A 23,606-nucleotide genomic window follows, 5' to 3' on the forward strand; every position below is an offset into this window, starting at 1 on the left:
CTAAATAAAAATAAATAAATAAAAGTAAAGCACCTACTGATTTATTATTCAGAATAAATACATAAATAAAGGCCTAGAGCAATAAAAAGGGTTAATTGAGGGCTTTCTTTGCATTTTCCCCTAAACACCAGTTGTCTTTCTCTTCTATTTCTTCACTTTTTTTCCCCCGTTTTTATGCCTCATGCCTCTTTTAATTTTTTCTGTTTTCCACATCCTTTCTCTATCTTTCTGTCCCTCTCTTCAAGAACCGTTCCCCTTCATCTCCTGAGCACCTCCTCTCTAGTATTTTGTGTCTGGTTCCAAGAGGAAATAGCAGAGCAGTAGAGTTTTCACCTCCCTGTTGGCAAGTGCTTTGTGTCACACTGTCACTTAGGACACACTGATCTATAGGTCTCTTCTGCTGCTGAGAAGAGACAGGGATGGTGAAGGTACATCTCGAGCTGGGATATTTTCTCCTAAAATGTACCCTAAAAATTGCACCCAGCATCTAATTTTAAATGGATTACAGAACTGGATTTTTTTCACGGCTTTTTCTTACTATAAAAGTAATAAATACTTACTGAAAATACAGAAAAATATAAAGAGAGTAATCACCCATTCTTACTGTAATATGAAAGCAATCACTATTAAATGTGTATGCCTTTTATCCCTGTATTTTAACAAACATCACGTTTGTTCATATATATCACTAATGATATATCACACATTCATGTATCACTAATTTTACATACATGCATGCACTGTTCACATTATTCTAATTCTCATCAACATCATTATGGCTGCATCTTATTCCAATGTGTGAACATACCAAAATACACTGAGTCATACTTCTTTTGGTAGATAGCTGGCTTTTTGTTTTTTTTCCATTTTTTGCGTTATAAATAACGCTGCCATGAGGCAAACACAGTGGCTTGCACCTGTAATCCCAGCTACTTGGGAGGCTAAGGAAGGAGGACTGCTTGAGGCCAAGAGTTGGAGGCCATCCTGGGCAACATAGCAAGATCCACCCATCTCTAAAAAATAAAATTTAATTTAAAATAATAATAAATAAATAATGTTACCATGGATGACTTTGTGCAAAAAGTTATTTCTGCAATTTTCAATGGTTTCCTTGGGAAATAATTCCAAAAGTAAAATTGTGGAATCAAAGGTTATGAATGCTTTTAAGGCTCTGTAAATTGCATTCCAAAAAGTTCGTGCTCTCTCCAAATCCCTTACCACACTAAGAATCGTTCTTATAAATTGGGTAAAGAAATGTTATAAAGCAAATAACCACCCTCTGATTTGTCCTTTGTGAAACAGGCAAAAAATTGGGAGCCCATCTTTCCTCTGACTCTCACCGCCCCACCCAATTCCACCTGTGGAGGGTCACCAGCTTATGACCTCTAGGTTTTGTCTCACCTTTTTGCAAGACAAGCCAAATAAAGCCATTCTCTTATTCATTCATTCAACCACTCGTGAACAGCTACGGAGTAGTTATTTGCCAGGCCCTGTGCCAGTGCTGAGGATATAAAGATGAATAGAACATTATCCCTAACTTACATGAACAATGGTGTGGTGGGACAGACAGACATGAAAATAAGACATGAAAATAAGTCTGGTGGGGCGACCAGAGCTCATGGAGGCAGGCGTGGAGCGCTCCAGGTCCTCCGAGAGGAGCCCCTACTGAGCGTGGGGAGATGATGTCTGACCAGTCCCTAGGTGACATCATAACATAACAGTTACTCTTTCCTCTGTACTTACAAGCATTGCCTCATTTACCCTCAGAACACCTCCACTAAGGAGATCTTATTGCTCTTTTACAAATGAAAAAAAAAAAAAAAATGAGGTTGAGCAAATTAAATAACTTGTCCCAGATCACACAGCTAAGAAAGGGCGAAACCAAATGTAACTATAAATTCAAAACTTCACATTGGACTCATCAAGGGTCTACCAAAAAGGCTCCATCAGCCCAAATAAGGTTCCCCCAAGACTTGAGCTCCGACGACCCCATTCCATCCATTAATGACAAAGAGAGGTGCAACCCCTTCTCAAGCCCGCATCTTCCCAGCAGCCTCCCTTGCTTTGTCCTGCAGGGGTGGCTTTCCTACCTTCTGCTCCTTGTCATCCGGTCTGAACTCCCCTCTTCTCTTGAGCACGGTGACCCTCAGCACTTCACCCTGCCTAGCCTTGCCATTTGGCTATAAAATTTGTTTTAACTGCCAGGAAACTGATGGAATTATAAAAGATCCATGATGATTCTCGGGGCCCTGCCTTCTTTGTCTCTAAAGCAATGCGATCAGAAATGATGATTTGTGAGCCCCTGTGTAATTCTCACGGTATAAAATCCTGCGAGCCACTGAACCACACCGAGCGCATTTAGAGTTGCTATTAGAATACAAAAGCAAAGGTTTGGTTCAAACTGAAAAGGCAGACACTTGTGGCCTCTTCCAATGAAGAAGAAAGGAAAAGAAGTATTTTAATGATGTTTTTTAATCATTTCCTCAGAGCACACAATGAGAATATATTTGCTGGGGAATGAAAAAGAACACAACATCAATTCAGTGCACAAAACTACTCTAAAACCTAAGGATCTATTCTCACATTTTTCATTAATTCCATCCAGGCTGATAACTTTCAACATTAAGCCTCCGTGCTTCATCCAACTCAAGTTTCCTAGAAGCACACAAACAAATCAAAATTCATTTGGGGTTGCCAAGAAGTCTTTCAAATATGGGATACCAACCCCCGTTTCAAGTCCTTTTCACTGCCCAAATTCCAACCTCAACTATGCATTCTCCATTAAAAACGTTCACCCATCAATCCTGTTGGTTTCATCATGAAGTTATAGGGACTGAAGACTCATCTTGCTATGTAATAGCAACAAAGATGGTCTCAAACACAGCTTTCCAACAAAAGCACAAAGCTTGAAAAAAAAATGGCTTAATTCCAAAGGCCCCACTGGGATGTTAGCCTCCCTTCCATAAGAACCTCCAATGTCTCATTGTTTACAATCAGTTCAGTACACTTTTAAAAATCTTTATTATTGTGGTAAAATATCCATGACATGAAATTAGCCATTTTAACCACTTTTAAATGTATAGTTCAGTGGCATTAAGTCCATTCATATTGCTTTCAACCATCACTGCTATCCTGTACCCACTAAAAAATAAATTGCTATCCCTCCCTCCCGTCATGTCCTGGTAACCTCCATTCTATTTTCTGTCCGCATGAATTTGACTAGGTCCCTCATGTAAGTGGAATCACATATTTGTTCCTTGTGTGTCTGGCCTATTTCCCTTAGCACACTGTCTTCAAGGTTCATCCATGTGTGTGTGTGTGTGTGTGTATATATATATATATATATATATATACACACACACACACACACACACACACACATCAGAATTCCATTCCTGTTTAAGGCTGAATAATATTCCATTGTATTCAGTTCAGTACTCTTTGCATGATGTTTTAAGCCTTCCACATTCTGGCCTGATTTTTTTTTTCTTTATCTTATTTCCCATTTCAGAGACCTACATGCCTAGGGCAGAGAAGATGAGTCAGGAATTCATCACCTTTTTCCCAGAGATTTTAAGCCTTTTTACCTTTGTTCACACTGGTCCCTTAACCCAGCACATCCTCCATCGTGCTTTCTCTAATCAAAATCCTAGTTGTTCCCTGCGCTCAATTAATGCCCGTTCCACCATGTGGATCCATGCATACTATGGAGCACCCTCCAATTACAGTCGGACCAGCTGTAAAATGTGTGCTTTCATCACAGCCAATGGCGCTCAAAGTCACCTTCTCTGAAACAAGACAGTTTAAAATACAGTTTTCAATTATTTGGCAAGCCCTGTTTTAGGTTTGTTTTATTTTGCTTTGTTTTTTTCAGACGGAGTCTAGCTCTGTCGTCCAGGCTGGAGTGCAGTGGTGCGATCTCGGCTCACTGCAACGTCCACCTGCCGGGTTCACTCCATTCTCCTGCCTCAGCCTCCCGAGTAGCTGGGACTACAGGCGCCCACCACCACCCCCGGCTAATTTTTGTATTTTTAGTAGAGGCAGGGTTTCACCGTGTTAGCCAGGATGGTTTCCATCTCCTGACCTCGTGATCCGCCTGCCTCAGTCTCCCAAAGTGCTGAGATTACAGGCGTGAGCCACCGTGCCCGGCCTAGGTTTTTAAAAAATAGAAATTTCTTTTTATTTAAAGCCAGGAAAAAAAATAACGTGACTAATGTGTATTGAGAACACACATAAAATAAAAATATTGCATGTATAATCTCAGTTTTAAAATGTAGTCATGAATAGCCTTTGGGGGCACTGGACTATTTCTAATGTAAACATTTTGAACTATAGAGATATAGCACTTTATTCAGAAAATAATACAAATATTCATCTCCACTCGATTTTCTTTCCCAGTTATAAACAAGAAATATATTAAATGGCATAAATAAACTGACAAAAAAGAACGCACAACTTTGCTACTTAAACGGCTTATTGAAAATTCTGACTGGCTATTTCTCTGTAAGATTTGCAGTGCCTTAGATTTTATACATCCTTTTTGTGGTTAAATTAGTAATAACAGCATTAAAATCTTAAGAACTGTATAGTACTCTATTTAATTATCTTCTCCCATAATTACACTGATTAAACACAGCATAAGAGACCATAAAGATAGATAAAACATTATGGCTACAAAACTTTTTTTTTAATGTCCATAAAATGACTATTAAGCCGTAGGTGACTAAATTAATATCACCCATACAATTTTATGGGGTTTCCGTCCACATCTAACAGTATCATTTGCCATGATGGCAGATTTTTTTTCATAGCTGTATTGAAACTGGAAACTAACACTTTTCAAAAAGATGGGAACGCAGTGGGCTGGCTTGGTCAACTTAGCCAAAAAGAAGACAGTTCTGTTTGAACCGTGCTCCAAGCTATGATCTGCTGTATACATTTAAACCCGCTGACCACCGAACTCCCTTTCTCATCCACCCGCCACTCCCACTGACAAGCCAATGGGGAACAGTGGTTTAGTAAATTATCCATTTCTTCATTTTCTTCTGAAAGTCATCTCCAGAGATTTTGGGTTATATTGATGGCACAGGCAATCAAGGAAGCAGATTTTCATTTTCCATCATAGGAATGAGCTTCTGAAACACCCAAGAACTTTCATTCTGTGCAATCCGTGCTATTACAAAGATTAAAGAACATGACAAAAATCTCAAGAAAATATAACTCTAAAAGCTAATCCTACGGGAAGGAAAAGAAAACTATTTGGAAGCTTTTCAAATATAAAGAATAGCTCCCCAGGATCATACTTTAGCAATTAAAAACTTATATATATAATTATATATATATATATACACACACGTATATAAAATGAGCTAGCAGAACCAAAATAAACCAACTGATCTGAATGCATTATCACCACTAAAAATCTGCACATATTTTCCTTCAGTGCTTGTAAAATGAAAATATATTTCAATACTAAGTTGATCCTTTTATTAAATTGGCACATATATTTTAAGAACCTATTGGGAGTCAGCTAAGTCCTAGATGTGATGGGTACAACAATAAACAAAATCAACACAGTCTGTGACTCATGGAGCCTGCAGTCTAGCGGGTGAGGCAGTAAACAAACAACAATATGAACAAACTGTGCAAATGTTTTGAGTAAAAGTTAAGGATACTTTAAGAAAAGATAATGACGGAATTCAATTTGGATTCGGTTTGGGATAAGAGGTCAGCAAGGCTTGTCTGAGGAAGCAAAATTTAAGAAATGAAGGATAAATGGAAGTTACTGTGAAGAAGACATACAAGAAAGAACACTCTAGGCAGAGGAGACACAGATTAAAGGCCTTGAGATGAGAAAGAGCTTAACATGTTTGAGACATGCAACACACACATTCCATGAAAGCAGGGTCCCAATCTGTTTTGCTCACCACAGCACAGAGAAAGTGTCTCGCTCACAGAAGGTGCTCACTAAATATCTATTAAGTGGTTGTTGAGTACATGACTGTGGTCAATGTAGCTGGAGTTCAGTGAACAAGCAGGGGAGCAGCCTACGACGGGTCTGCTCATGCAGCCAGGAGCCAGATCATGGAGGGTCTTGCCACCATTTTGAAGATAACTCCATCATCTCACCACAGGACCCAAAACATCCATGCCCAACTTGTTTCCTCTTTTAGTACTGAAACTCAAAGACTTCCCACACGTTTATCTTTATTGTAAGATGTTTCAAAGGCAGGGGCTATTTCTTACTCATTTTTGTGGCTCCTGTTTCTTTTATGTGCCGTGAATAAACAGGCACTTGATAAATACTTATTGACTGAACTTCTGCTTATTGAGACCTTACTATGTGCCAGGTAGTGTCCAAAGCACTTTGCATACATTGGCTAATTCAAGTTTCAAAAAAAAATCTGCAAGAAGCATACGTATATGTGTGGGTGAGTGTGTGTGTGTTGGTGTGTAATCTTCATTATTTTTGTCTCCAATTACAAATGAGAAAACTGAGGCTAATAGAGGTTAGGGAATTTGCCCAAGATCACGTTGCTGACAATTACCAAATCTATTATCCTTAGAATGTGTTCCCTTATCTATTACACTAACCAGCCTCCCACAACTAAAATATAAAAATAAGAACCCCATTGATTTTTCTTTCAGAGAGAAATATGTATCATGGATATCACATGACATATAAGGAAGTCGTTCATATTATTACAGTACCAAGACTAAAATTCATGATGCAAAATGTATTTCCTTCATTAAGCTATGGTAAAATTGAAGGACTTGTTCTTCAGAGCAAATGGGCAAAGTGATTAAAAACAAAACTACTTTCTTTTAATTAAACTAAGTTTCAGGACAACTGAAAAATTGGACAGACTCTGACCTTGAGCCTGGATTGACTTCCCTGTTGGGTTCTATCATGGGCACCCAAGCCAGTTTGAGTCCTGGGATACCTTGCTCTGCTAGCTGATCAGGTAAGCTCCTGACTTCCTGAAGATAATTTTATGGTCAGTCCCTGCCATGTTTCCCCACAAGACAACACTTCCTCCAATATTGGTGACAGAAAACTGGGCTAGAGAGACTAGAAATCTGACCCACTGTGCCATCCTCATGTTATGATGTTCTTAATGAGTTTCAAACTAAGCTCTGAAGGTCAGTCAGCTTGTGGGATTCATCAGGAGGGAGGGGGCCAAGGAACCAGAATAGAACGTTTCAAAATAGCAAAAACCACCACTGAAACACTCTGCTTCTCAAGTGCCCTGGTTCAAACCAAACCCTTAATCATAAATGGATTGTTCTGTGCCCATACTTCCCACGTTAGTGTCAATGACATGGCAATCAATTCAGGAAAAGTAATTTTATGGTTGGAATGTGTGTGTCCCTTCTAAAACTCATGTGGAAACTTCATCTCTAATGCAACAGTATTAAAAGGTGGTGCCTTTAGAAGGCGATTGGGCCATAAGGAACCTACCCATGGATGAGATTAGTGCCTTATAAACGGCTTGAGTAGGAGTGAGTTTCCTTCTTCCCTTTCATCTCTTTGGCCACAAGAAGACACAGCATTTGTCCCATCCACAGGACGCAGCAACAAGGCATCATTTTGAGGCACAGAGCAATCCTTTACTAAACATCGAACCTGCCAGCACATTGATCCTAGATTTCTGAGGCTCCAGAACTATCAGAAAGAAATTTCTATTGTTTATAAATTGTACAGTCTATGATATTTTGTTATAGCAGCAGGAATGGACTATGGCAGTCATCCAAACCTGAAACTTATTTGACTTTCTGGATTAAAGATAATATCTTGTAGGCATATGCAAATGATTAGGGCTGAGAGTGGAGATGTGGTGTGTGTCTTACTTTGGGGAAATGCTTTTTTTTTTTAATTTCCATAAGTTATTGGGGTATTTGGTTACATGAGTAAGTTCTTTAGTGGTGATTTGTGAGATTGTGGTGCACCCATCACCCGAGCAGTATACATTGCACCCTATTTGTAGTCTTTTATCCCTCACCCCCCTCCCACTCTTCCCCCCAAGTCCACAAAGTCCATTGTATCATTTTTATGCCTTTGCGTCCTCATAGCTTAGCTCCCACATATCAGTGAGAACACACAATGTTTGGTTTTCCATTTCTGAGTTACCTCACTTAGAATAATAGTCTCCAATCTCATCCAGGTCGCTGCAAATGCTGTTAATTCATTCCTTTTTATGTCTGTGTAGTATTCCATTATATATATATATATATATCACAGTTTTTTTAATCCACTCATTGATTGGTGGGCATTTGGGTTCATTCTACAATTTTGCAATTGTGAATTGTGCTGCTATAAAAATGTGTGCACAAGTATCTTTTTTGAATAATGACTTCTTTTCCTCTGGGTAGATACCCAGTAGTGGGATTGCTGGATCAAATGGTAGTTCTACTTTTAGTTCTTTAAGGAATCTCCACAGTGTTTTCCATAGTGGCTGTACTAGTTTACATTCCCACCGGAAGTGTAGAAGTGTTCCCTGTTCACTACATCCATGCCAACATCTACTTTTTTTTTTATTTTTTGATTATGGCCTTCTTGTAGGAGTAAGGTGGTATTGCACTGTGGTTTTGATTTGCATTTCCCTGATCATTAGTGTTGTTGAGCATTTTTTCATATATTCGTTGGCCATTTGTATATCTTCTTTTGAAAATTATTTATTCATGTCCTTAGACCACTTTTTGATGGGATTGTTTGTTTTTTTTTTCTTACTGATTTGTTTGAGTTTGTTGTAGATTATGGATATTAGTCCTTTGTCAGATGTATAGATTGTGAAGATTTTCTCCTACTCTGTGAGTTGTCTCTTTACTCTGCTGACTCTTCCTTTTGCCATGCAAAAGCCCTTTAGTTTAATTAGGTCCTAGCTATTTATCTTTGTTTTTGTTGCATTTGCTTTTGGGTTCTTGGTCATTAAATCCTTGCCTAAGCCAATGTCTAGAAGGGTTTTTCCAAGGTTGTCTTCTAGAATTTTTATAATTTCAGGTTTTAGGTTTAAGTTGTTAATCCATCTTGAGTTGATTTTTGTATAAAATGAGAGGTAAGGATCCAGTTTCATTCTCCTACATGTGGCTAGCCAATTATCCCAGCACCATTTGTTGAAAAGGGGGTCCTTTCCTTCACTTTATGTTTTTGTTTGCTTTGTCAAAGATTGGTTGGCTGCAAGTATTTCCATTTATTTCTGGGTTCTCCATTCTGTTCCGTTTGTCTATGTGCCTATTTTTATACCAGTACCACACTGTTTCGGTGACTATAGCCTTATAGGATAGTTTGAGATCAGGTAGTGTGATACCTCCAGATTTGTTCTTTTTGCTTAGGCTTGCTTCGGCTATGTGGGTTCTCTTTTGGTTCCATACGAATTTTAGAATTTTTTTTTTTTTGTAATTCTGTGAAGAATGATGGTAGTATTCTGATGGGGATTGTGTTGAATTTGTAGATTGCTTTTGGCAGTATGGTCATTTTCACAATATTGATTCTACCCGTCCATGACCATGGGATGTGTTCCTATTTGTTTGTGTCATCCACGATTTCTTTCAGCAGTGTTTCATAGTTTTCCTTGTAGATGTCTTTCAACTCTTTTGTTAGGTATATTCCTAAAAAGTTTTTTAGTTTAGTTTAGTTTTGTTTTGTTTTTTGCAGCTATTGTAAAAGAAGTGAGTTCTTGATTTCATTCTCTGCTTGGTCGCTTTTGGTGTATAGAAGAGCTACTGATTTGTGCACATTAATCTTGTATCCGGAAACTTTGCTGAATTCTTTTATTAGTTCTAGGAGCTTTCTAGAGGAGTCCTTAGGGTTTTCAAGGTAAACAATCATATCGTCAGCAAACAGTGACAGTTTGACTTCCTCTTTACCGATTCGGATGTCCTTTATTTCTTTCTCTTGCCTGATTGCTCTGGTTGGACTTCCAGTACTATGTTGAAGAGGAGTGGTGAGAATGGGCATCCTTGTCTTGTTCCAGTTCTTAGAGGGAATGCTTTCAACTTTTCCCCATTCAGTATTACGGTGGCTGTGGATCTGTCATAGATGGCTTTTATTACATTAAGGTATATGCCTTGTATGCTGATTTTGCTGAGAGTTTTAATCATAAAGTGATGCTGGATTTTGTCTAATGCTTTTTCTGCATCTACTGAGATGATCATGTGATTTTTGTTTTTAATTCTGTTTATGTGGTGTACCACATCTATTGACTTGCATATGTTAAACCATCCCTGCGTCCCTGGTATGAAACCCACTTGATCATGGTGGATTATCTTTTTGATATGTTGTCAGATTCTGTTAGCTAGTATTTTGTTAAGGATTTTAGCATCTATGTTCATCAGGGATATCAGTTTGTAGTTTTCTTTTTTGGTTGTGTCCTTTCCTGGTTTTGGTATTAGGGTAATGCTGGCTTCATAGAATGAGTTAGGGAGGGTTTTTTCTTTCTCTATCTTGTGGAATAGTGTCAAAAGGATTGGTAACAATTCTTCCTTGAATATCTGGTAGAATTCTACTGTGAATCCTTCTGGTCCTGGACTTTTTTTGTTAGTAAATTTTTAATTACCGTTTCAATCTCGCTGCTTGTTTTTGGTCTGTTCAGGGTATCTAATTCTTCCTGCTTTGAGCTAGGAAAGTTGTATTTTTCCAGGAATTTATCCATCTCTTCTACACTTTCTATGTGCATAAAGGTGTTCATAGTAGCCTTGAATCATCTTTTGTATTTCAGTGGTGTCAGTTGTAATATCTCCTGTTTCATTTCTCAGTGAGGTTATTTGGATTTTCTCTCTTCTTTTCCTGGTTAATCTTGCTAATGGTCTATCAATTTTATCTTTTCAAAGAACCAGCTTTTTGTTTCATTTATCTTTTGTATTTTTTGTTTGTTTCAATTTCATTTAGTTCTTCTTTGATGTTGGTTATTTCCTTTCTTCTGCTGGGTTTGGGTTTGGTTTGTTCTTGTTTCTCTAGTTCCTTGAGGTATGACCTTAGATTGTTTGCTTGTGCTCTTTCAGACTTTTTGATGTAGCTATTTAGGGCTATGAACTTTCCTCTTAGCACCAACTTTGCTCTATCCCAGAGGTTTCGACAGGTTCTATCATTATTGTCATTCAGTTCAAAGAATTTTTTAATTTCCATCTTGATATTCTTCAATGCTCAGTCCAGAGTAGGTTATTTAATTTCCATGTATTTGCATGGTTTTGAAGGTTCCTTTTGGAGTTGATTTCCAGTTTTATTCCACTGTGGTCTGAGAGAGTGCTTGATATAATTTCAATTTTCTTAAATTTACTGAGGCTTGTTTTATGGCCTATCTTATGTTCTATTTTGGAGAAAGTTCCATGTGCTGTTGAATAGAATGTGTATTCTGTGGTTGCTGGATGAAATGGTCTGTATATATCTGTGAAGGCCATTTGTTCCAAGATATAGTTTAAATCCATTGTTTCTTTGTTGACTTTCTGTCTTCATGACCTGTCTAGTGCTGTCAGTGGAGTATTGAAGTCCACCACTATTATTGTGTCTCATTTCTTAAGTCTATTAGTAATTGTTTTATAAATTTGGGAGCTCCAGTGTTAGGTGCATATATTTTAGGATTGTGACATTTTCCTGTTGGACAAGGCCTTTTACCATTATATACTGTCCCTCTTTGTCTCTTTTAACTGCTGTTGCTTTAAAGTTTATTTTGTTTGATATAAGAATAGCTACCCCTGCTCGCTTTTGTTGTCCATTTGTATGAAATGCCTTTTTCCACCCCTTTACTTTAAGTGTATGTGAGTCCTTATGTGTTAGGTGATTCTCCTGAAGACAGCAGATAGTTGGTTGATGAGTTCTTACCCATCCTGCAGTTCTGTATCTTTTAAGTGGAGCATTTAGGCTATTTATATTCAATGTTAGTATTGAAATGTGAGGTACTGTTGCTTTCATCCTGCTCTTTGTTGCTTCTGTGCTTCGGTTTTTTTGTTATTTTGTTTGTTTGTTTTTGCTTTTTAACTTGTATTTTGTTTTATAGGTCCTATGTGATTTATGCTTTAAAGAGGTTCTGTTTTGATGTGTTTTGATGTGTTTCCAGGATTTGTTTCAAAATTTAGAGCCACCACAAGACTTACAGCTCCTTTTAGTAGTTTGCCATTGGTAATGGCAAATTCTTTCAGCATGTGTTTGTCTGAAAACAACTGTATCTTTCTGTCATATATGATGCTTAGTTTCGCTGGATACAAAATTCTTGGCTGATAATTGCTTTGTTTGAGGAGGCTGAAGATAGGTCCCCAATCCCTTCTAGCTTGTAAGGTTTCTGCTGAGAAATCTGCCATTAATCTGACAGGTTTTCCTCATAGGTTACCTGGTGCTTCTGTCTCACAGCTCTTAAGATTCTTTCCTCCTTCGTAACTTTGTATAACCGGATCACAATGTGCCTAGGCAAAGATCTTTTTGCAATGAATTTCCCAGGTGTTCTTTGTCCTTCTTATATTTGGATGTCTAGGTCTCTCACAACCCAGGGAAGTTTTCCTTGATTATTCCCCCAGACATATTTTCCAGGCTTTTAGAATTCTCTTCTTCCTCAGGTACACTGATTATTCTTAGGTTTGGTCGTTTAACATAATCCCAGACTTCTTGGAGGCTTTGTTCATATTTTCTTGTTCTTTTTTCTTTGTCTTTGTTGAATTAGGTTAATTCAAATACCTTGTCTTGGAGCTCTGAATTTCTTTCTTCTGGTTGTTCAATTCTATTGCTGAGACTTTCCAGAGCATTTTGCATTTCTAGAAGTGTGTCCAAAGTTTCCTGAATTTTTCATTGTTTTTTTCTTTAAGCTGTCTATTTCCATGAATATTTCTCCCTTCACTTCTTATATCATTTTTTGGATTTTCTTGCATTGTGCTTCACCTTTCTCTGATCTTTCCCTTATTAGCTAAATAACTAACCTCCTAAATTCTTTTTCAGGAAATCAGGGATTTCTTCTTGGTTTGGATCTATTGCTTGTGTGATTTTTGGGGGGTGCTGAAGAGCCTTGTTTTATCATATTACCAAGGTTGGTTTTCTGGTTCCTTGTCATTTGGGTAGGCTCTGTCAGAGGGAAGGCCTAGGACTGAAGGCTGTTGTTCAGATTCTTTTGTCCCACAAGGTGTTCCCTTGATGTAGTACTCTCCCCCTTTTCCTATGGATGTGGCTTCCTGTGAGCCAAGCTGCAGTGATTGTTTTCTCTCTTCTGGGTCTAGCCATCCAGCGAGTCTATCCAGCTCCAGGCTGGTACTGGGGGTTGTCTGCAGAGTCCTGTGATGTGAACCCTCTATGGGTCCCTCAGCCGTGGATACCGGTGCCTGTTCTGGTGGAGGTAGCAGAGGGTGCAATGGACTCCATGAGGGTCCTTAGCTTTGGTGGTTTGATGCTCTATTTTTGTGCTGGTTGGCCTCCTGCCAGGAGGTGGCGCTTTCCAGAAAGCATCAGCTGCAGTAGTAGTGTGGAGAGGGACCAGCAGTGGGCGGGGCCCTAGAACTCCCAGGATTATGTGCCCTTTGTCTTCTGCTACCAGGGTGGATAGGGAAGGGCCATCAGGTGGGGGCATGACTAGGCGTGTCTGAGCTCAAACTCTCCTTGGGCAGATTTTGCTGCAGCTGCTGTGGGGAATGGGGATGAGATTACCAGGTCACTGGAGTTGTGTACCTAGGAGGATTATGGCTGCCTCTGCTGAGTCATGCAGGTTGTCAGGGAAGTGGGGAAAAGCGGGTAGTCACAGGCCTCACCCAGCTCCCATGCAAACTGAAGGGCCAGTCTCACTCCCACCGTGCCCCCACCAACAGCCCCAAGTCTGTTTCCAGGTAGAGGGCAAGAGGGGCGTGAAAACTTACCCGAAGCTATCTGCCTCCCAACTGCGAGAGAAAAGGGCTTTAGTTCTTCCCCGTCCTGTGAAGTCTGCACGCCCAATTCACACCATCCCTCAAGTTCTGGCCAGGAGGTTTCTCACCCCGTTCAAATTGTTACAAAGTTCAGCTAGAGAATTCCTTCTCCCTGTGGAGTTTTACCCCCTGCCCCTCTGGCCACCCTCCCGATGGATCCCTGTGGTGCCAGGCAGGAATGGGCTGCTTGGGGACCCAGCGAGCTCCCAGGGCCTTTTGGCTGCTTCCTCTACCCCTGTATTTTGCTCAGCTCTCAAACTTGACTCAGCTCCAGGTGAAGTTGGAAACGTCTCCAGCAAACAGACCTTCAGCTTCTCCAGTGGGGGGTGTGTTCGGGAGAGGAGGGTCTCCCTTTCCCACTTCTGCAGTTGGGGCACTCACAATATTTGGGTGTCTCCCAGGAGCAGTCTGCTTCCTTCAGAGGGTCTGTGGGTCCTGTCAGGATTGCTGGTTTGTTCTTGCAGTCGATCTAGAGCTCAGGTGATCTGTCCGTCTTGGCCTCCCAAAGTGCTGGGATTACAGGCATGAGCCACGGCGCCCCCTGGGAAATGCTTTAGTTGGTACATTTTGAACCAGTAAAGCTGCCCTGTGGCTGGGTACACTTACACAAATAGCATCTGAAAAAAACTTTTTTTTTGATATTCCAAATGGTATGCAGATTTCAGGTTAAACCTAGTACAAGGATACATACACCTGGGATATAGGAGAAAAAGGAAGAGCAAGACATAAATACTTCCCTTATCCAAATCACCAATCCTCTCATGAGGGAGTGGTATGATAGCTTACACCTACTGAACGCATAAAACTGTGTGACAGAAAGCATTTCACATGAAAGAATGTATTTAGTAGTCATATCAACCCCAAAAGATGAAAACAAAACAAACTGTGCAATTTACCAGTCACACAGCTAATAGATGACTTGAACCAAGGAACTGTGGCTTCAAGGTCTTTATCACAAACTATAACATGGTCTCTCATTCACTACCGGCAGAACATGGAGAGGGTAAAATTATAAAAGCCTAATGGAAAAGGAAAGGGCAGGTGGGGTGGAGTTGAGTGCAAGAAGACCTAGGAAGTCAGACTCCATGGCTGGGCATCATGGCTCACACTTGTAATCCCAGCACTTTGGGAGGTGGGGGCAGGAGGATCACTTGAGGCCAAGAGTTAGAGACCAGCCTGGATAACATAGTGAGATCTAATCTCTAGAAAAAGAACAATTTTTTTTTTTTAATTACCTGGGGGGTGGATCACTTTGAGCACAGGATTTCAAGATCAGCCTGGGCAACTTGGTGAAACCCCGTCTCTACCAAAAACACAAGAATTAGCTGGGAGCGGTGGCTCATGCCTATAGTCCCAGCTACTTGCGAGGCTGAGGTGGGAGAATGGCTTGAGCCCAGGAGCCAAAGGTTTCAGGGAGCTGAGATCACGCCACTGCACTCCAGCCTGAGTGACAGAGCAAACCCTTGTATTTAAAAAAAAAAAAAAAGTTAACCAGGCATGGTGGTGCACACCTGTAGTCGTAGCTACTTGGTTTACTGAAGCGAGAGGATCACTTGAGCCTGAGAGGTTGAGGCTGCAGTGAGCTGTGATCACACCACTGTTCCAGCTTGGACAACAGGTGAGATCCTGTCTCAAAAAAAAAAAAAAAGAAAAGAAAAAGAAAGAAGGTAAAATTTAGATTAGAGGAAAAATGCGATTACAAAACAACTCAAAATTTCCGAGCAGAAGAGTGATTTGTTGAAAGCAGGTTTAAAGAGATATTTTGACTACACGTGTTCTGCTTAAAGCAGGGTGCTTATAAAAAAAATCACAATGCACATTAAAGGACTCCATTTACCAAAAAAATTCACAAAAATAAGGCCAAATATAACCTAAGACCCTCTCCAAAAAGACACTATCTAATGTAAGAAGTGTTTAGTCTTAAATATTTAAAATTACTTTAAGAGTTGAGCTAAGGAAAAAATAAAAAGCCGTCATGGTACAGAAACATACAGCATCCTGATTTGGGGCATAGTGTACTCTGACACTATTTTCTAACCTAAAAATCACAGGGTTTGTTTTTTTGTTTTTTTTTAATATGGTCTTTTCAAAAAAGGCCTCCTACAGTCAACAAAGAAGAGAAAGGGTGTTCTTTTTTTATTTCAGTAAGAATTTTAATGCTATCCCGTGTGGCAGTTTCTGTGAAAAGTTGCAGAACTGGATACTATGTTCTTTGGGTTCTGGGGTCACTGCAAAAGCCTCAAAGGGGAGTTTAAAACCTGATGGGCCTAGATCAAGGAGGCGCCAGGGGGATTGATTTGGGGTTCATTCTGTTGCTATTCCCACTCCAAAACAAGGCATGCTGGGACTTGAACTATACAGAGCCACCCGGGAGTGGGAGGCGAGAGGCCAGGAGAAGCCTGGGATCGGAGGGACAGGAGGGGAATGGCAACTGACCCAAATACAGAGATAGGGAGGGGAAGAGGGCTTTGAGTCTGAAGAACAAGGTGCAAGCTGGGGCACACAGCTCAAAGGCATCACTCCAACAGAAAGCACAGGGATGTAAGGCGCCCTCCCCTGTCAGAAGCCAGGTGAGAGTGCAGCTAGGATAGGAACAGCCAACACAAGTGAGCAGAACTCTAGCTGCCAGAAAAGAAGGTTCTAGAAGCACAATCCAGCTCCAAAGAGGTAATTAGGAGGAGCTAATGAGCTAGCTGTCATTCAACATCCCATAGGTGAGGGTGCCCAGAGAATGGCACCCAGTTCATCCCCACATCTCAGGGATGGGGTCCAACTGGCCACGGGGACTTTAACAATGAGGCCCAGCAACAAAGGCCTGGCCAAGGTCTGAGGACTCGGTTCAAAAGCTGGAAAGGAAGCTGGGGCTGCTGTAGGCATTCTCCAAACCAACCCATGAGCAAACTTATATCCCCAAACGTCCCACTGCCTGCCCCAGCCTTGGCATGTGCCCAGGCTATCTTTGAGTTTCCTCCCCTCCTGTGGAGCACAGAACTATTGTTTACCAAAACCTGCTGGTGTTTGTTATCAGCCTCCTCTCTCACTAGACTAGAGGCTCCTTAGAAGCAGGTAGCATTTTATATGCTTCTTCCCTGCTCTCATGGAACTTAATGCTGTAGAGGGAGTGCTTTAAAACCACCTATTAAATAAATCCTGTCTGGAGTTCCCTACCAGTAAGTATTACAGCTGAATTCAAAGAAGCCCATCTCTCTCCCGTGGCATGGGAGGGGGCTGGAGTTCGTTAGCTGATCACCGCCAACGTTCTCTCTGGGTGACATGTGGGACTATTGAATGGCGGGTGGAGGATCCTGGGATTTCAGGGGCATGTTGCATCCATCTGATCTGACTGGTATTGCCAGCAATCGAACCAAAATCTGGCTTAATGCAGTAGAATCTGCAAAGCCAGTCCCAAGTGACCCTTTTAAATAATCAATCTTTTTTTTTTTTTTCAAATCCTCTTTCGTCTTAAATACCAACCTGATTCCTTTACTAACAAACTAGGTGCTTATTCTGCAAGCCACAAAGCATTGCTGATTAGTAATCAGGGAAGCCGAGCATAGAAGGGAACTGAAGTGGAGATTGAGAGATGAGCCATTTCATCTGGGTCCCCCGCCCTCCCTCTGTGGGCTTAAAAAAAAAAAAAAGACAGGGACAATGTTCTCCATCTTCATCAATGTTTTATCAACTGAAGAAACATTAAGGCGAGACTGGCAAGGGATTCTATTTTCTTGTTTACTGTAGCGAAAGACTCGGCCACTAAACTTCAGATTTCCCGATTCCTAAGCCTTGCTAAGAAGGATGCAAAAATGGGTCATAAGAGAAAGAACATATTCTTATTCTGTTTCCCACCTGTAAAATATAATATCTCCCCTGCAGATTGTTGTGAGAGTTAAGTAAGATCATTAATATCCAGCACAGACTCAGGAACACAAGGAAGCACCATTAATGTTCATTAATTTCTTCTTGGTTCTCCATCATCCAAGTCTTCTGACATTCTAGCAACCCAGTACCACAGGTGGGAATTCTTTGAAACACATCAGAGTCAGAGCTCTTGATTTTGATAGGAAACGACTGAGCCCTTCCTGATTGCAGGGTACACACACTAGGTTCAGAAATCCCTTTAGCATTAGGAAAACTTTGGACCAGGGAAACTGCAATGCATTGGTTTGCTCTTGCCCCTGGAACAAATTATCACAAATTTTGTGGCCTTACACCAATACAAATTTATTTTCTTACAGCTCTGTAGGTCAGAAGTCTGCCGCGGTCTCACCAGCCTCCTATCAAGGCAGGGCTGATCCTTCCTGGAGGCTCTAATGGAGAGTAGTCCTTCACTCACTCAAGTTGTTGGCAGAATTCAGTTCCTTGCACACAGCCTGCTATACCTCAGAACCAGCAATGGGACGTCAGATGCTTCTCATGCTGCCCTCTCTCTAGTCACAGCTAGGAAATATGCTCCAATTTTAAGGACTCATGTGATTACATTGGGCCCACCGGGATAATCCAAGATAATCTCCCCATCTCATAAGGTCTGTAATCTTAATCATATCTGCAAAGTCTCTTCTGCCATGTAAGGTAACATTCCCAGGCTCTAGGGATCAGAACCTAGACAAATTTAGGAAGTAGGGTGTGGGCATTATTCTGACTACCACACAAGAGCACTTGCTGAACATTAACAATTCATAAATGTTCACCAATTTACACCCAGAATGCTGGAACCTGGAAATCATGGAAAATGATTTTTGGAGTAGTTCTATCATTTAGTTTTCTTTTACTCACTAAAATTGGGTTTACCAAGATAGTGTTAAGACAAAACAGCTGAGACACATATCATGTAAAACCACCCTTTTGGCTGGGTGCGGTGGCTCACACCTGTAATCCCAGCACTTTGGGAGGCCAAGGCGTGTGGATCATGAGGTCAGGAGATCAAGACCATACTGGCTAACATGGTAAAACCCCGTCTCTACTAAAAATACAAAAAAATTAGCCGGGCATGGTGGCAGGCGCCTGTAGTCCCAGCTACTCGGGAGGCTGAGGCAGGAGAATGGCATGAACCCGGGAGGCGGAGCTTGTAGTGAGCCAAGATCACGCGACTGCACTCCAGCATGGGCGACAGAGCAAGACTGTCAAAAAAAACAAAAACAAACAAACAAAAAACAGAAAAAAAACACCCTTTTGTCGTTGGCTTGGACTTTTACCACTCTGCCTTTCTTTTTGCCAATTCAGCTTAAACCAAAATGGAAAAAATTGTTTAGGTGATCTGCCGCTAGCCAAGAGAGACCAGGGAATGTTTTCAAAGCCTAGGGTCAGCTTCCATCAGAAAGTTGAAGGGACTTACCGCAGCTATGTTTGTCACGACATTATCTCTCTCCTATTTTACAAACAGAAACAACTAACTCAGAATTCACGACTGATGGAGTAGGAAACAGGAACCAAACCGATTTTAAAAGCCTTGTCCATCATCCTTTCTATAGCTTATGAGGCATGGCCCAGCATCCACCTTATTAGTCAAGGGACATGCTAAGCAACTTTCAAACCGAGCTAAGCAGGCAGCAGTGCCAGGAAACAAAACAAAAACAAACAAACAAAAAAGGCAAGAATGGCTGGAGAGAGAAGACAAAACAGACACAAGAAACTCCATGCCTTTTATTGTCAAGAAGAGGAGCTGCTGCTCATATCTTCTTGTATTGCAAGATGCCTCTTCAATTTATGCCCTCTCCCCTTCTGTAAATTGGATTTATAATCTCCAGCCCCTTCTACAAAATCCCAGGTGTGGGTCAATGGCTGTCACTGTGAAAAAAATGAGAAAGAAGAAAAGCTTACCACTTTCTAACGCTTTTTAGCCCCAAGGCACAATGAGACACTTCATTGTTGTTATTGTTTCAACAAATGCCTTGATTGAAATGACCATGTTAATGTAGCTGAGATTATTGGCTGGAAAAGAGCAAAGTGCCAGCACACACCAGTCACAAACCCGCCGAGAGACAAGCGACACACAAAAGAACGTGGAAGTGCGAGGGGGAGGAAGAACTGGTATTATTATTGTTATATTAGAATCCATTTATATTTTGCCATCAATTTAAAACAGGTTAGCTGAAGCCAAGCCTCCTAAACTTATTGTAGTCCTCATGCCTATCTCTATAAGAGATAATGAGTTTACGGCGGGGCACGATGGCTCATGCCTGTAATCCCGGTACTTTGGGAGGCTGAGGAGGGCAGATCACCTGAGGTCAGAAGTTCAAGACCAGCCTGGCCAACATAGAGAAACCCTGTCTCTACTAAAAATATAAACATTAGCCAGGCGTGGTGGCGCGTGCCTGTAATCCCAGCTACTCAGGAGGCTGAGACAGGAGAATCGCTTGAACCCAGGAAGCAGAGGTTGCAGTGAGCTGAGATCACACCACTGTACTCCAGCCTGGGCGACAGAGCAAGACTCCGTCTCAAACAAAAAAAAAAAAAAAAAGAGAGAGAGGGAGAGATAATGAGTTTACCAAGCATGTGTGAATTGCACAGGGGAAGCTACAGGGATTCCCTTTCAGTCAATATTTTCATAGACAGTCACTTCACGGGAAGGCCCAGGGTCTGACCTAAGCTAATAAATGATTATCCCTCGCTACTAAAATCAGGACCCTAATTAACTTGCTAATTGTTGGTCTCTGTTCACGGACATTAACCTGAGTTATCCCACTATATACACCTGTAAGTAAATTACAGGCTGTATACTCAAGATGAACCTTCTGTCCAAGTGAATAAATGTGACTTCAATGTGTCGGCCACACATAATACTTTTAAGTGACCAAGTGTATAAGATTCTATTATGGGCACTTCTCCAAGCAAATTAAATGGACACAAACTCCCTCTAATAATTTATTTCCTGAGCAATGTCTCTGGGCCCTGTCCTTTGGAAGGCACAGTCTCCTTGTTCATACCATCCTCTTTTATCACAGTAATAGCTACTCTGGCTGGCTTCCCACAGGCCAAGCAGTCTAAGCTAAACACTGTATATTCATTCTCTCCCTTAATCTCTACAAAGAGTCATAAAATATACATTATATTATTCCTATATGATGGAGGAGAAAACTGAGATTTAGATTCAAATGACTGTCTTAGCAGATATTACTAGTGCTCACCCAATTCCCCTCCATACCCTGGGGTTAGCATACTTAGCTTCTTCTAAAAGCTAAGACACTCTCTGCTTGAGATAAGGGAAGTATTGAAGTGCAAAGGAATTAATGTTCCCCATCCTGGGAACAGCCCTCAGATAACAACTAATGGGAGTCGGGTAATACTAGAGCTTCTTCTCTTGTATGGGACTATGCTGAGACAGGTCTGCACCATCATCCAGAGGTTCCCAGCCTGAGCGTTCAGGTGCCATAGCAGGGACTTGCTCATCAACACACCTTACACTGGTTTCCTTACTCTCTCCTCCAGGATGCTAACCTGGGAAAATCCAAATACATTTGCACCCAAATAAATAACTGCAACTCAAGTCTAAGCTAACTTAAGGTCAGCTTCTGGGGGAGGTCACACACAGTACTTGTCCAAGGCCAGATGACCAACAAATGGCACAGCTAGAGCCAAACCCAGGTTGGCTAATGCCAAAGTCCATACTCTTACTCCCCAGATTATACTATCTCTTTGTCATCCGTTATCTGGCATAATATTTAATCAAAGCATTCAAGTAATACATTGGAATTAGACTTTTCCATATTTTTGCTATACTTTTTCCTGCCTGTTTTGCTTCTAGCAGCTTCACTTGCTAAAATAGTCTGGGTTGAAGGCTCTACAAGGCATTTACGCTGATCTTACTTCAACTACATTCTTGATAGATGGCCATCATGCCTGTTCGATATGGTTTTGCTGTGTCCCCACCCAAATCTCATCTTGAATTGTAGCTCCCATAATTCCCACAGGTTGTGGGAGAGACCCGGTGGGAGATAATTGAATCATGGGGGCAGTTTCCTCCATACCATTCTCATAGTAGTGAATAAGTCTCATGATATCTGATGGTTTTTTAAGGGGAAACCCCTTTTGCCTGGTTCTCATTTTCTCTCTTGTCTGCCGCCACATAAGACATGTCTTTTGTCTTCCACCATGACTGTGAAGCCTCTCCAACCACATGGAACTGTGAGTTCATTAAACCTCTTTTTCTTTATAAATTACCCAGTCTCAGATATGTCTTTGTCAGCAGCGTGAAAACAGACTAATATACTGTTGCTTAATCTATCTCTAAAGGTGGTTGAGTCCTTCCTGTTAGAAAAGAGCTAACATTTAGGAGCATCCACAATATATCAGGCAATGTTCCAGGGATATCATACATATTACTCCACTAACCCTCACAACAGCCCTTTCAAGCAGGTGTTATTATCTCCATTTTACAGATGAGGAAACTGAGGCTGGTAACCTGTTCAAGGTCATGCAGTTAGTATGTGGCAGATTCAGAATTGAAAGCCAGGCCCCTCTGACCCCAAAGTCTAAGCTCTTTTTGTATAACAAATAGTGCTTGCATGTGCCAGGTCCAAGATTTTTAAATCCTAATTTATTTAATCTTTAAAATAACCCTCTGAATTAGGTACTATCACTATCTCCATTTTATAGATGTGATAACTGAGGCAACAGGAAGATAAGTAACTTGTGAAGGGCCCACAGAAAACGGCAGAGGGCCAGATTCAGACCCAGGTGTTCTGGCCCCAGCCCATGCTCCTAAACACTACTTTTTGTTAACTCTCTTAACCACAGTGCTCTGTATTGACCCAAGTTCTGATGCTACATTGAAATGTCCTCAGTATCACTTCTACCCAATATTCTTAGGTTTGCCTTCCAAAATCCAAAACTAGCCTTATCTCTTTCCCCTTGATAAAACTGTAAATATTCAAAGATGGTCTTTTCACGTGGTCTTACATGGTCACTAGCAATCCCTTGACATCTAAATCCTTTGCTATACCGCCCATGCCTTGTGAAAAACCTCCACCCCAGTTCCCAGTTTCTCAGAACTGAGGCCCACCAGGTGTGGCCAGATCACTGCATAATGTGAAGATGACCTCCCCTGCCCTGATGCAGGACTTTGGCCAGTGAACCCTGAGCGTGGCATGGCCTTTTCTAGCAGGTAGGTTGTGTGAAGAAGCTCAACAAAGAAGAGACATTTTCCTCATGTTCCACACCCATTTTCCCACCTATGTGTTTCTTCCATGCCAGGAGGACAGCACAGACCAGCAGGGGCGATTACAAACACTTCAGGCTGGCTACATACAGGCCAGCACTCCCATTTCTGTTGGTATTGACTTGCCACTGTTGCTGTACCTTTATTTATGGTTTAAAACTTAAAGAAAGTTCACCGTCTTTATTTAGCAATCATTTGTGGAGAGCCTCTCTATGCCAGTGTCAATGTTGAGGGCTGGGAATAGAACAATGGCTGCTGATCTCTGCGAGTTTAGAGCCTAGTAAGCAAGAGATATACAAAATCAAATAACTTCCATCCAGATCTTCTTCCTCTCCCTCTCCTGACCTCCAAACACTAGAGCATCCCAGGCTCAGTCCTTAAACTTCTCTTCAGAACATACACACTTCTCTAGAGATCCCATTTGCTCCTGTGGCTTGACTGCTGTCTCTGTAAAGATGCCTCCACCATTTATACCTTTATCCCGGTCTCTACCCTGAACTCCATACCCCATGTCCAATTGCCCACATGCCATCTCTTCCTGGATATCTCATGGCATCTGAAACTTAACCTAAATCAC

The 23,606-nt window shown here is 41.1% G+C and overlaps 1 protein-coding gene across 11 annotated transcripts in view, besides 1 other annotated feature; it reads right to left on the reverse strand.

Moving 5' to 3' along the window:
- Window positions 1-23,606, reverse strand: part of PPARGC1A (PPARG coactivator 1 alpha) — a 680,885-nt gene that overhangs the window by 543,865 nt on the left and 113,414 nt on the right. The gene's annotated exons all lie outside the window — the stretch shown is intronic.
- Window positions 12,935-13,666: an enhancer, noted in NCBI's record as "H3K27ac-H3K4me1 hESC enhancer chr4:24350443-24351174 (GRCh37/hg19 assembly coordinates)". NCBI's record gives its function as "activates a minimal SCP1, AML or CMV promoter by ChIP-STARR-seq in primed H9 embryonic stem cells {active_cell/tissue: H9 hESC(primed)}" and the evidence as "EXISTENCE:reporter gene assay evidence [ECO:0000049][PMID:30033119]".

The sequence above is a fragment of the Homo sapiens genome, chromosome 4 (assembly GCF_000001405.40).
Source record: "Homo sapiens chromosome 4, GRCh38.p14 Primary Assembly".
NCBI classification, from domain to species: domain Eukaryota; kingdom Metazoa; phylum Chordata; class Mammalia; order Primates; family Hominidae; genus Homo; species Homo sapiens.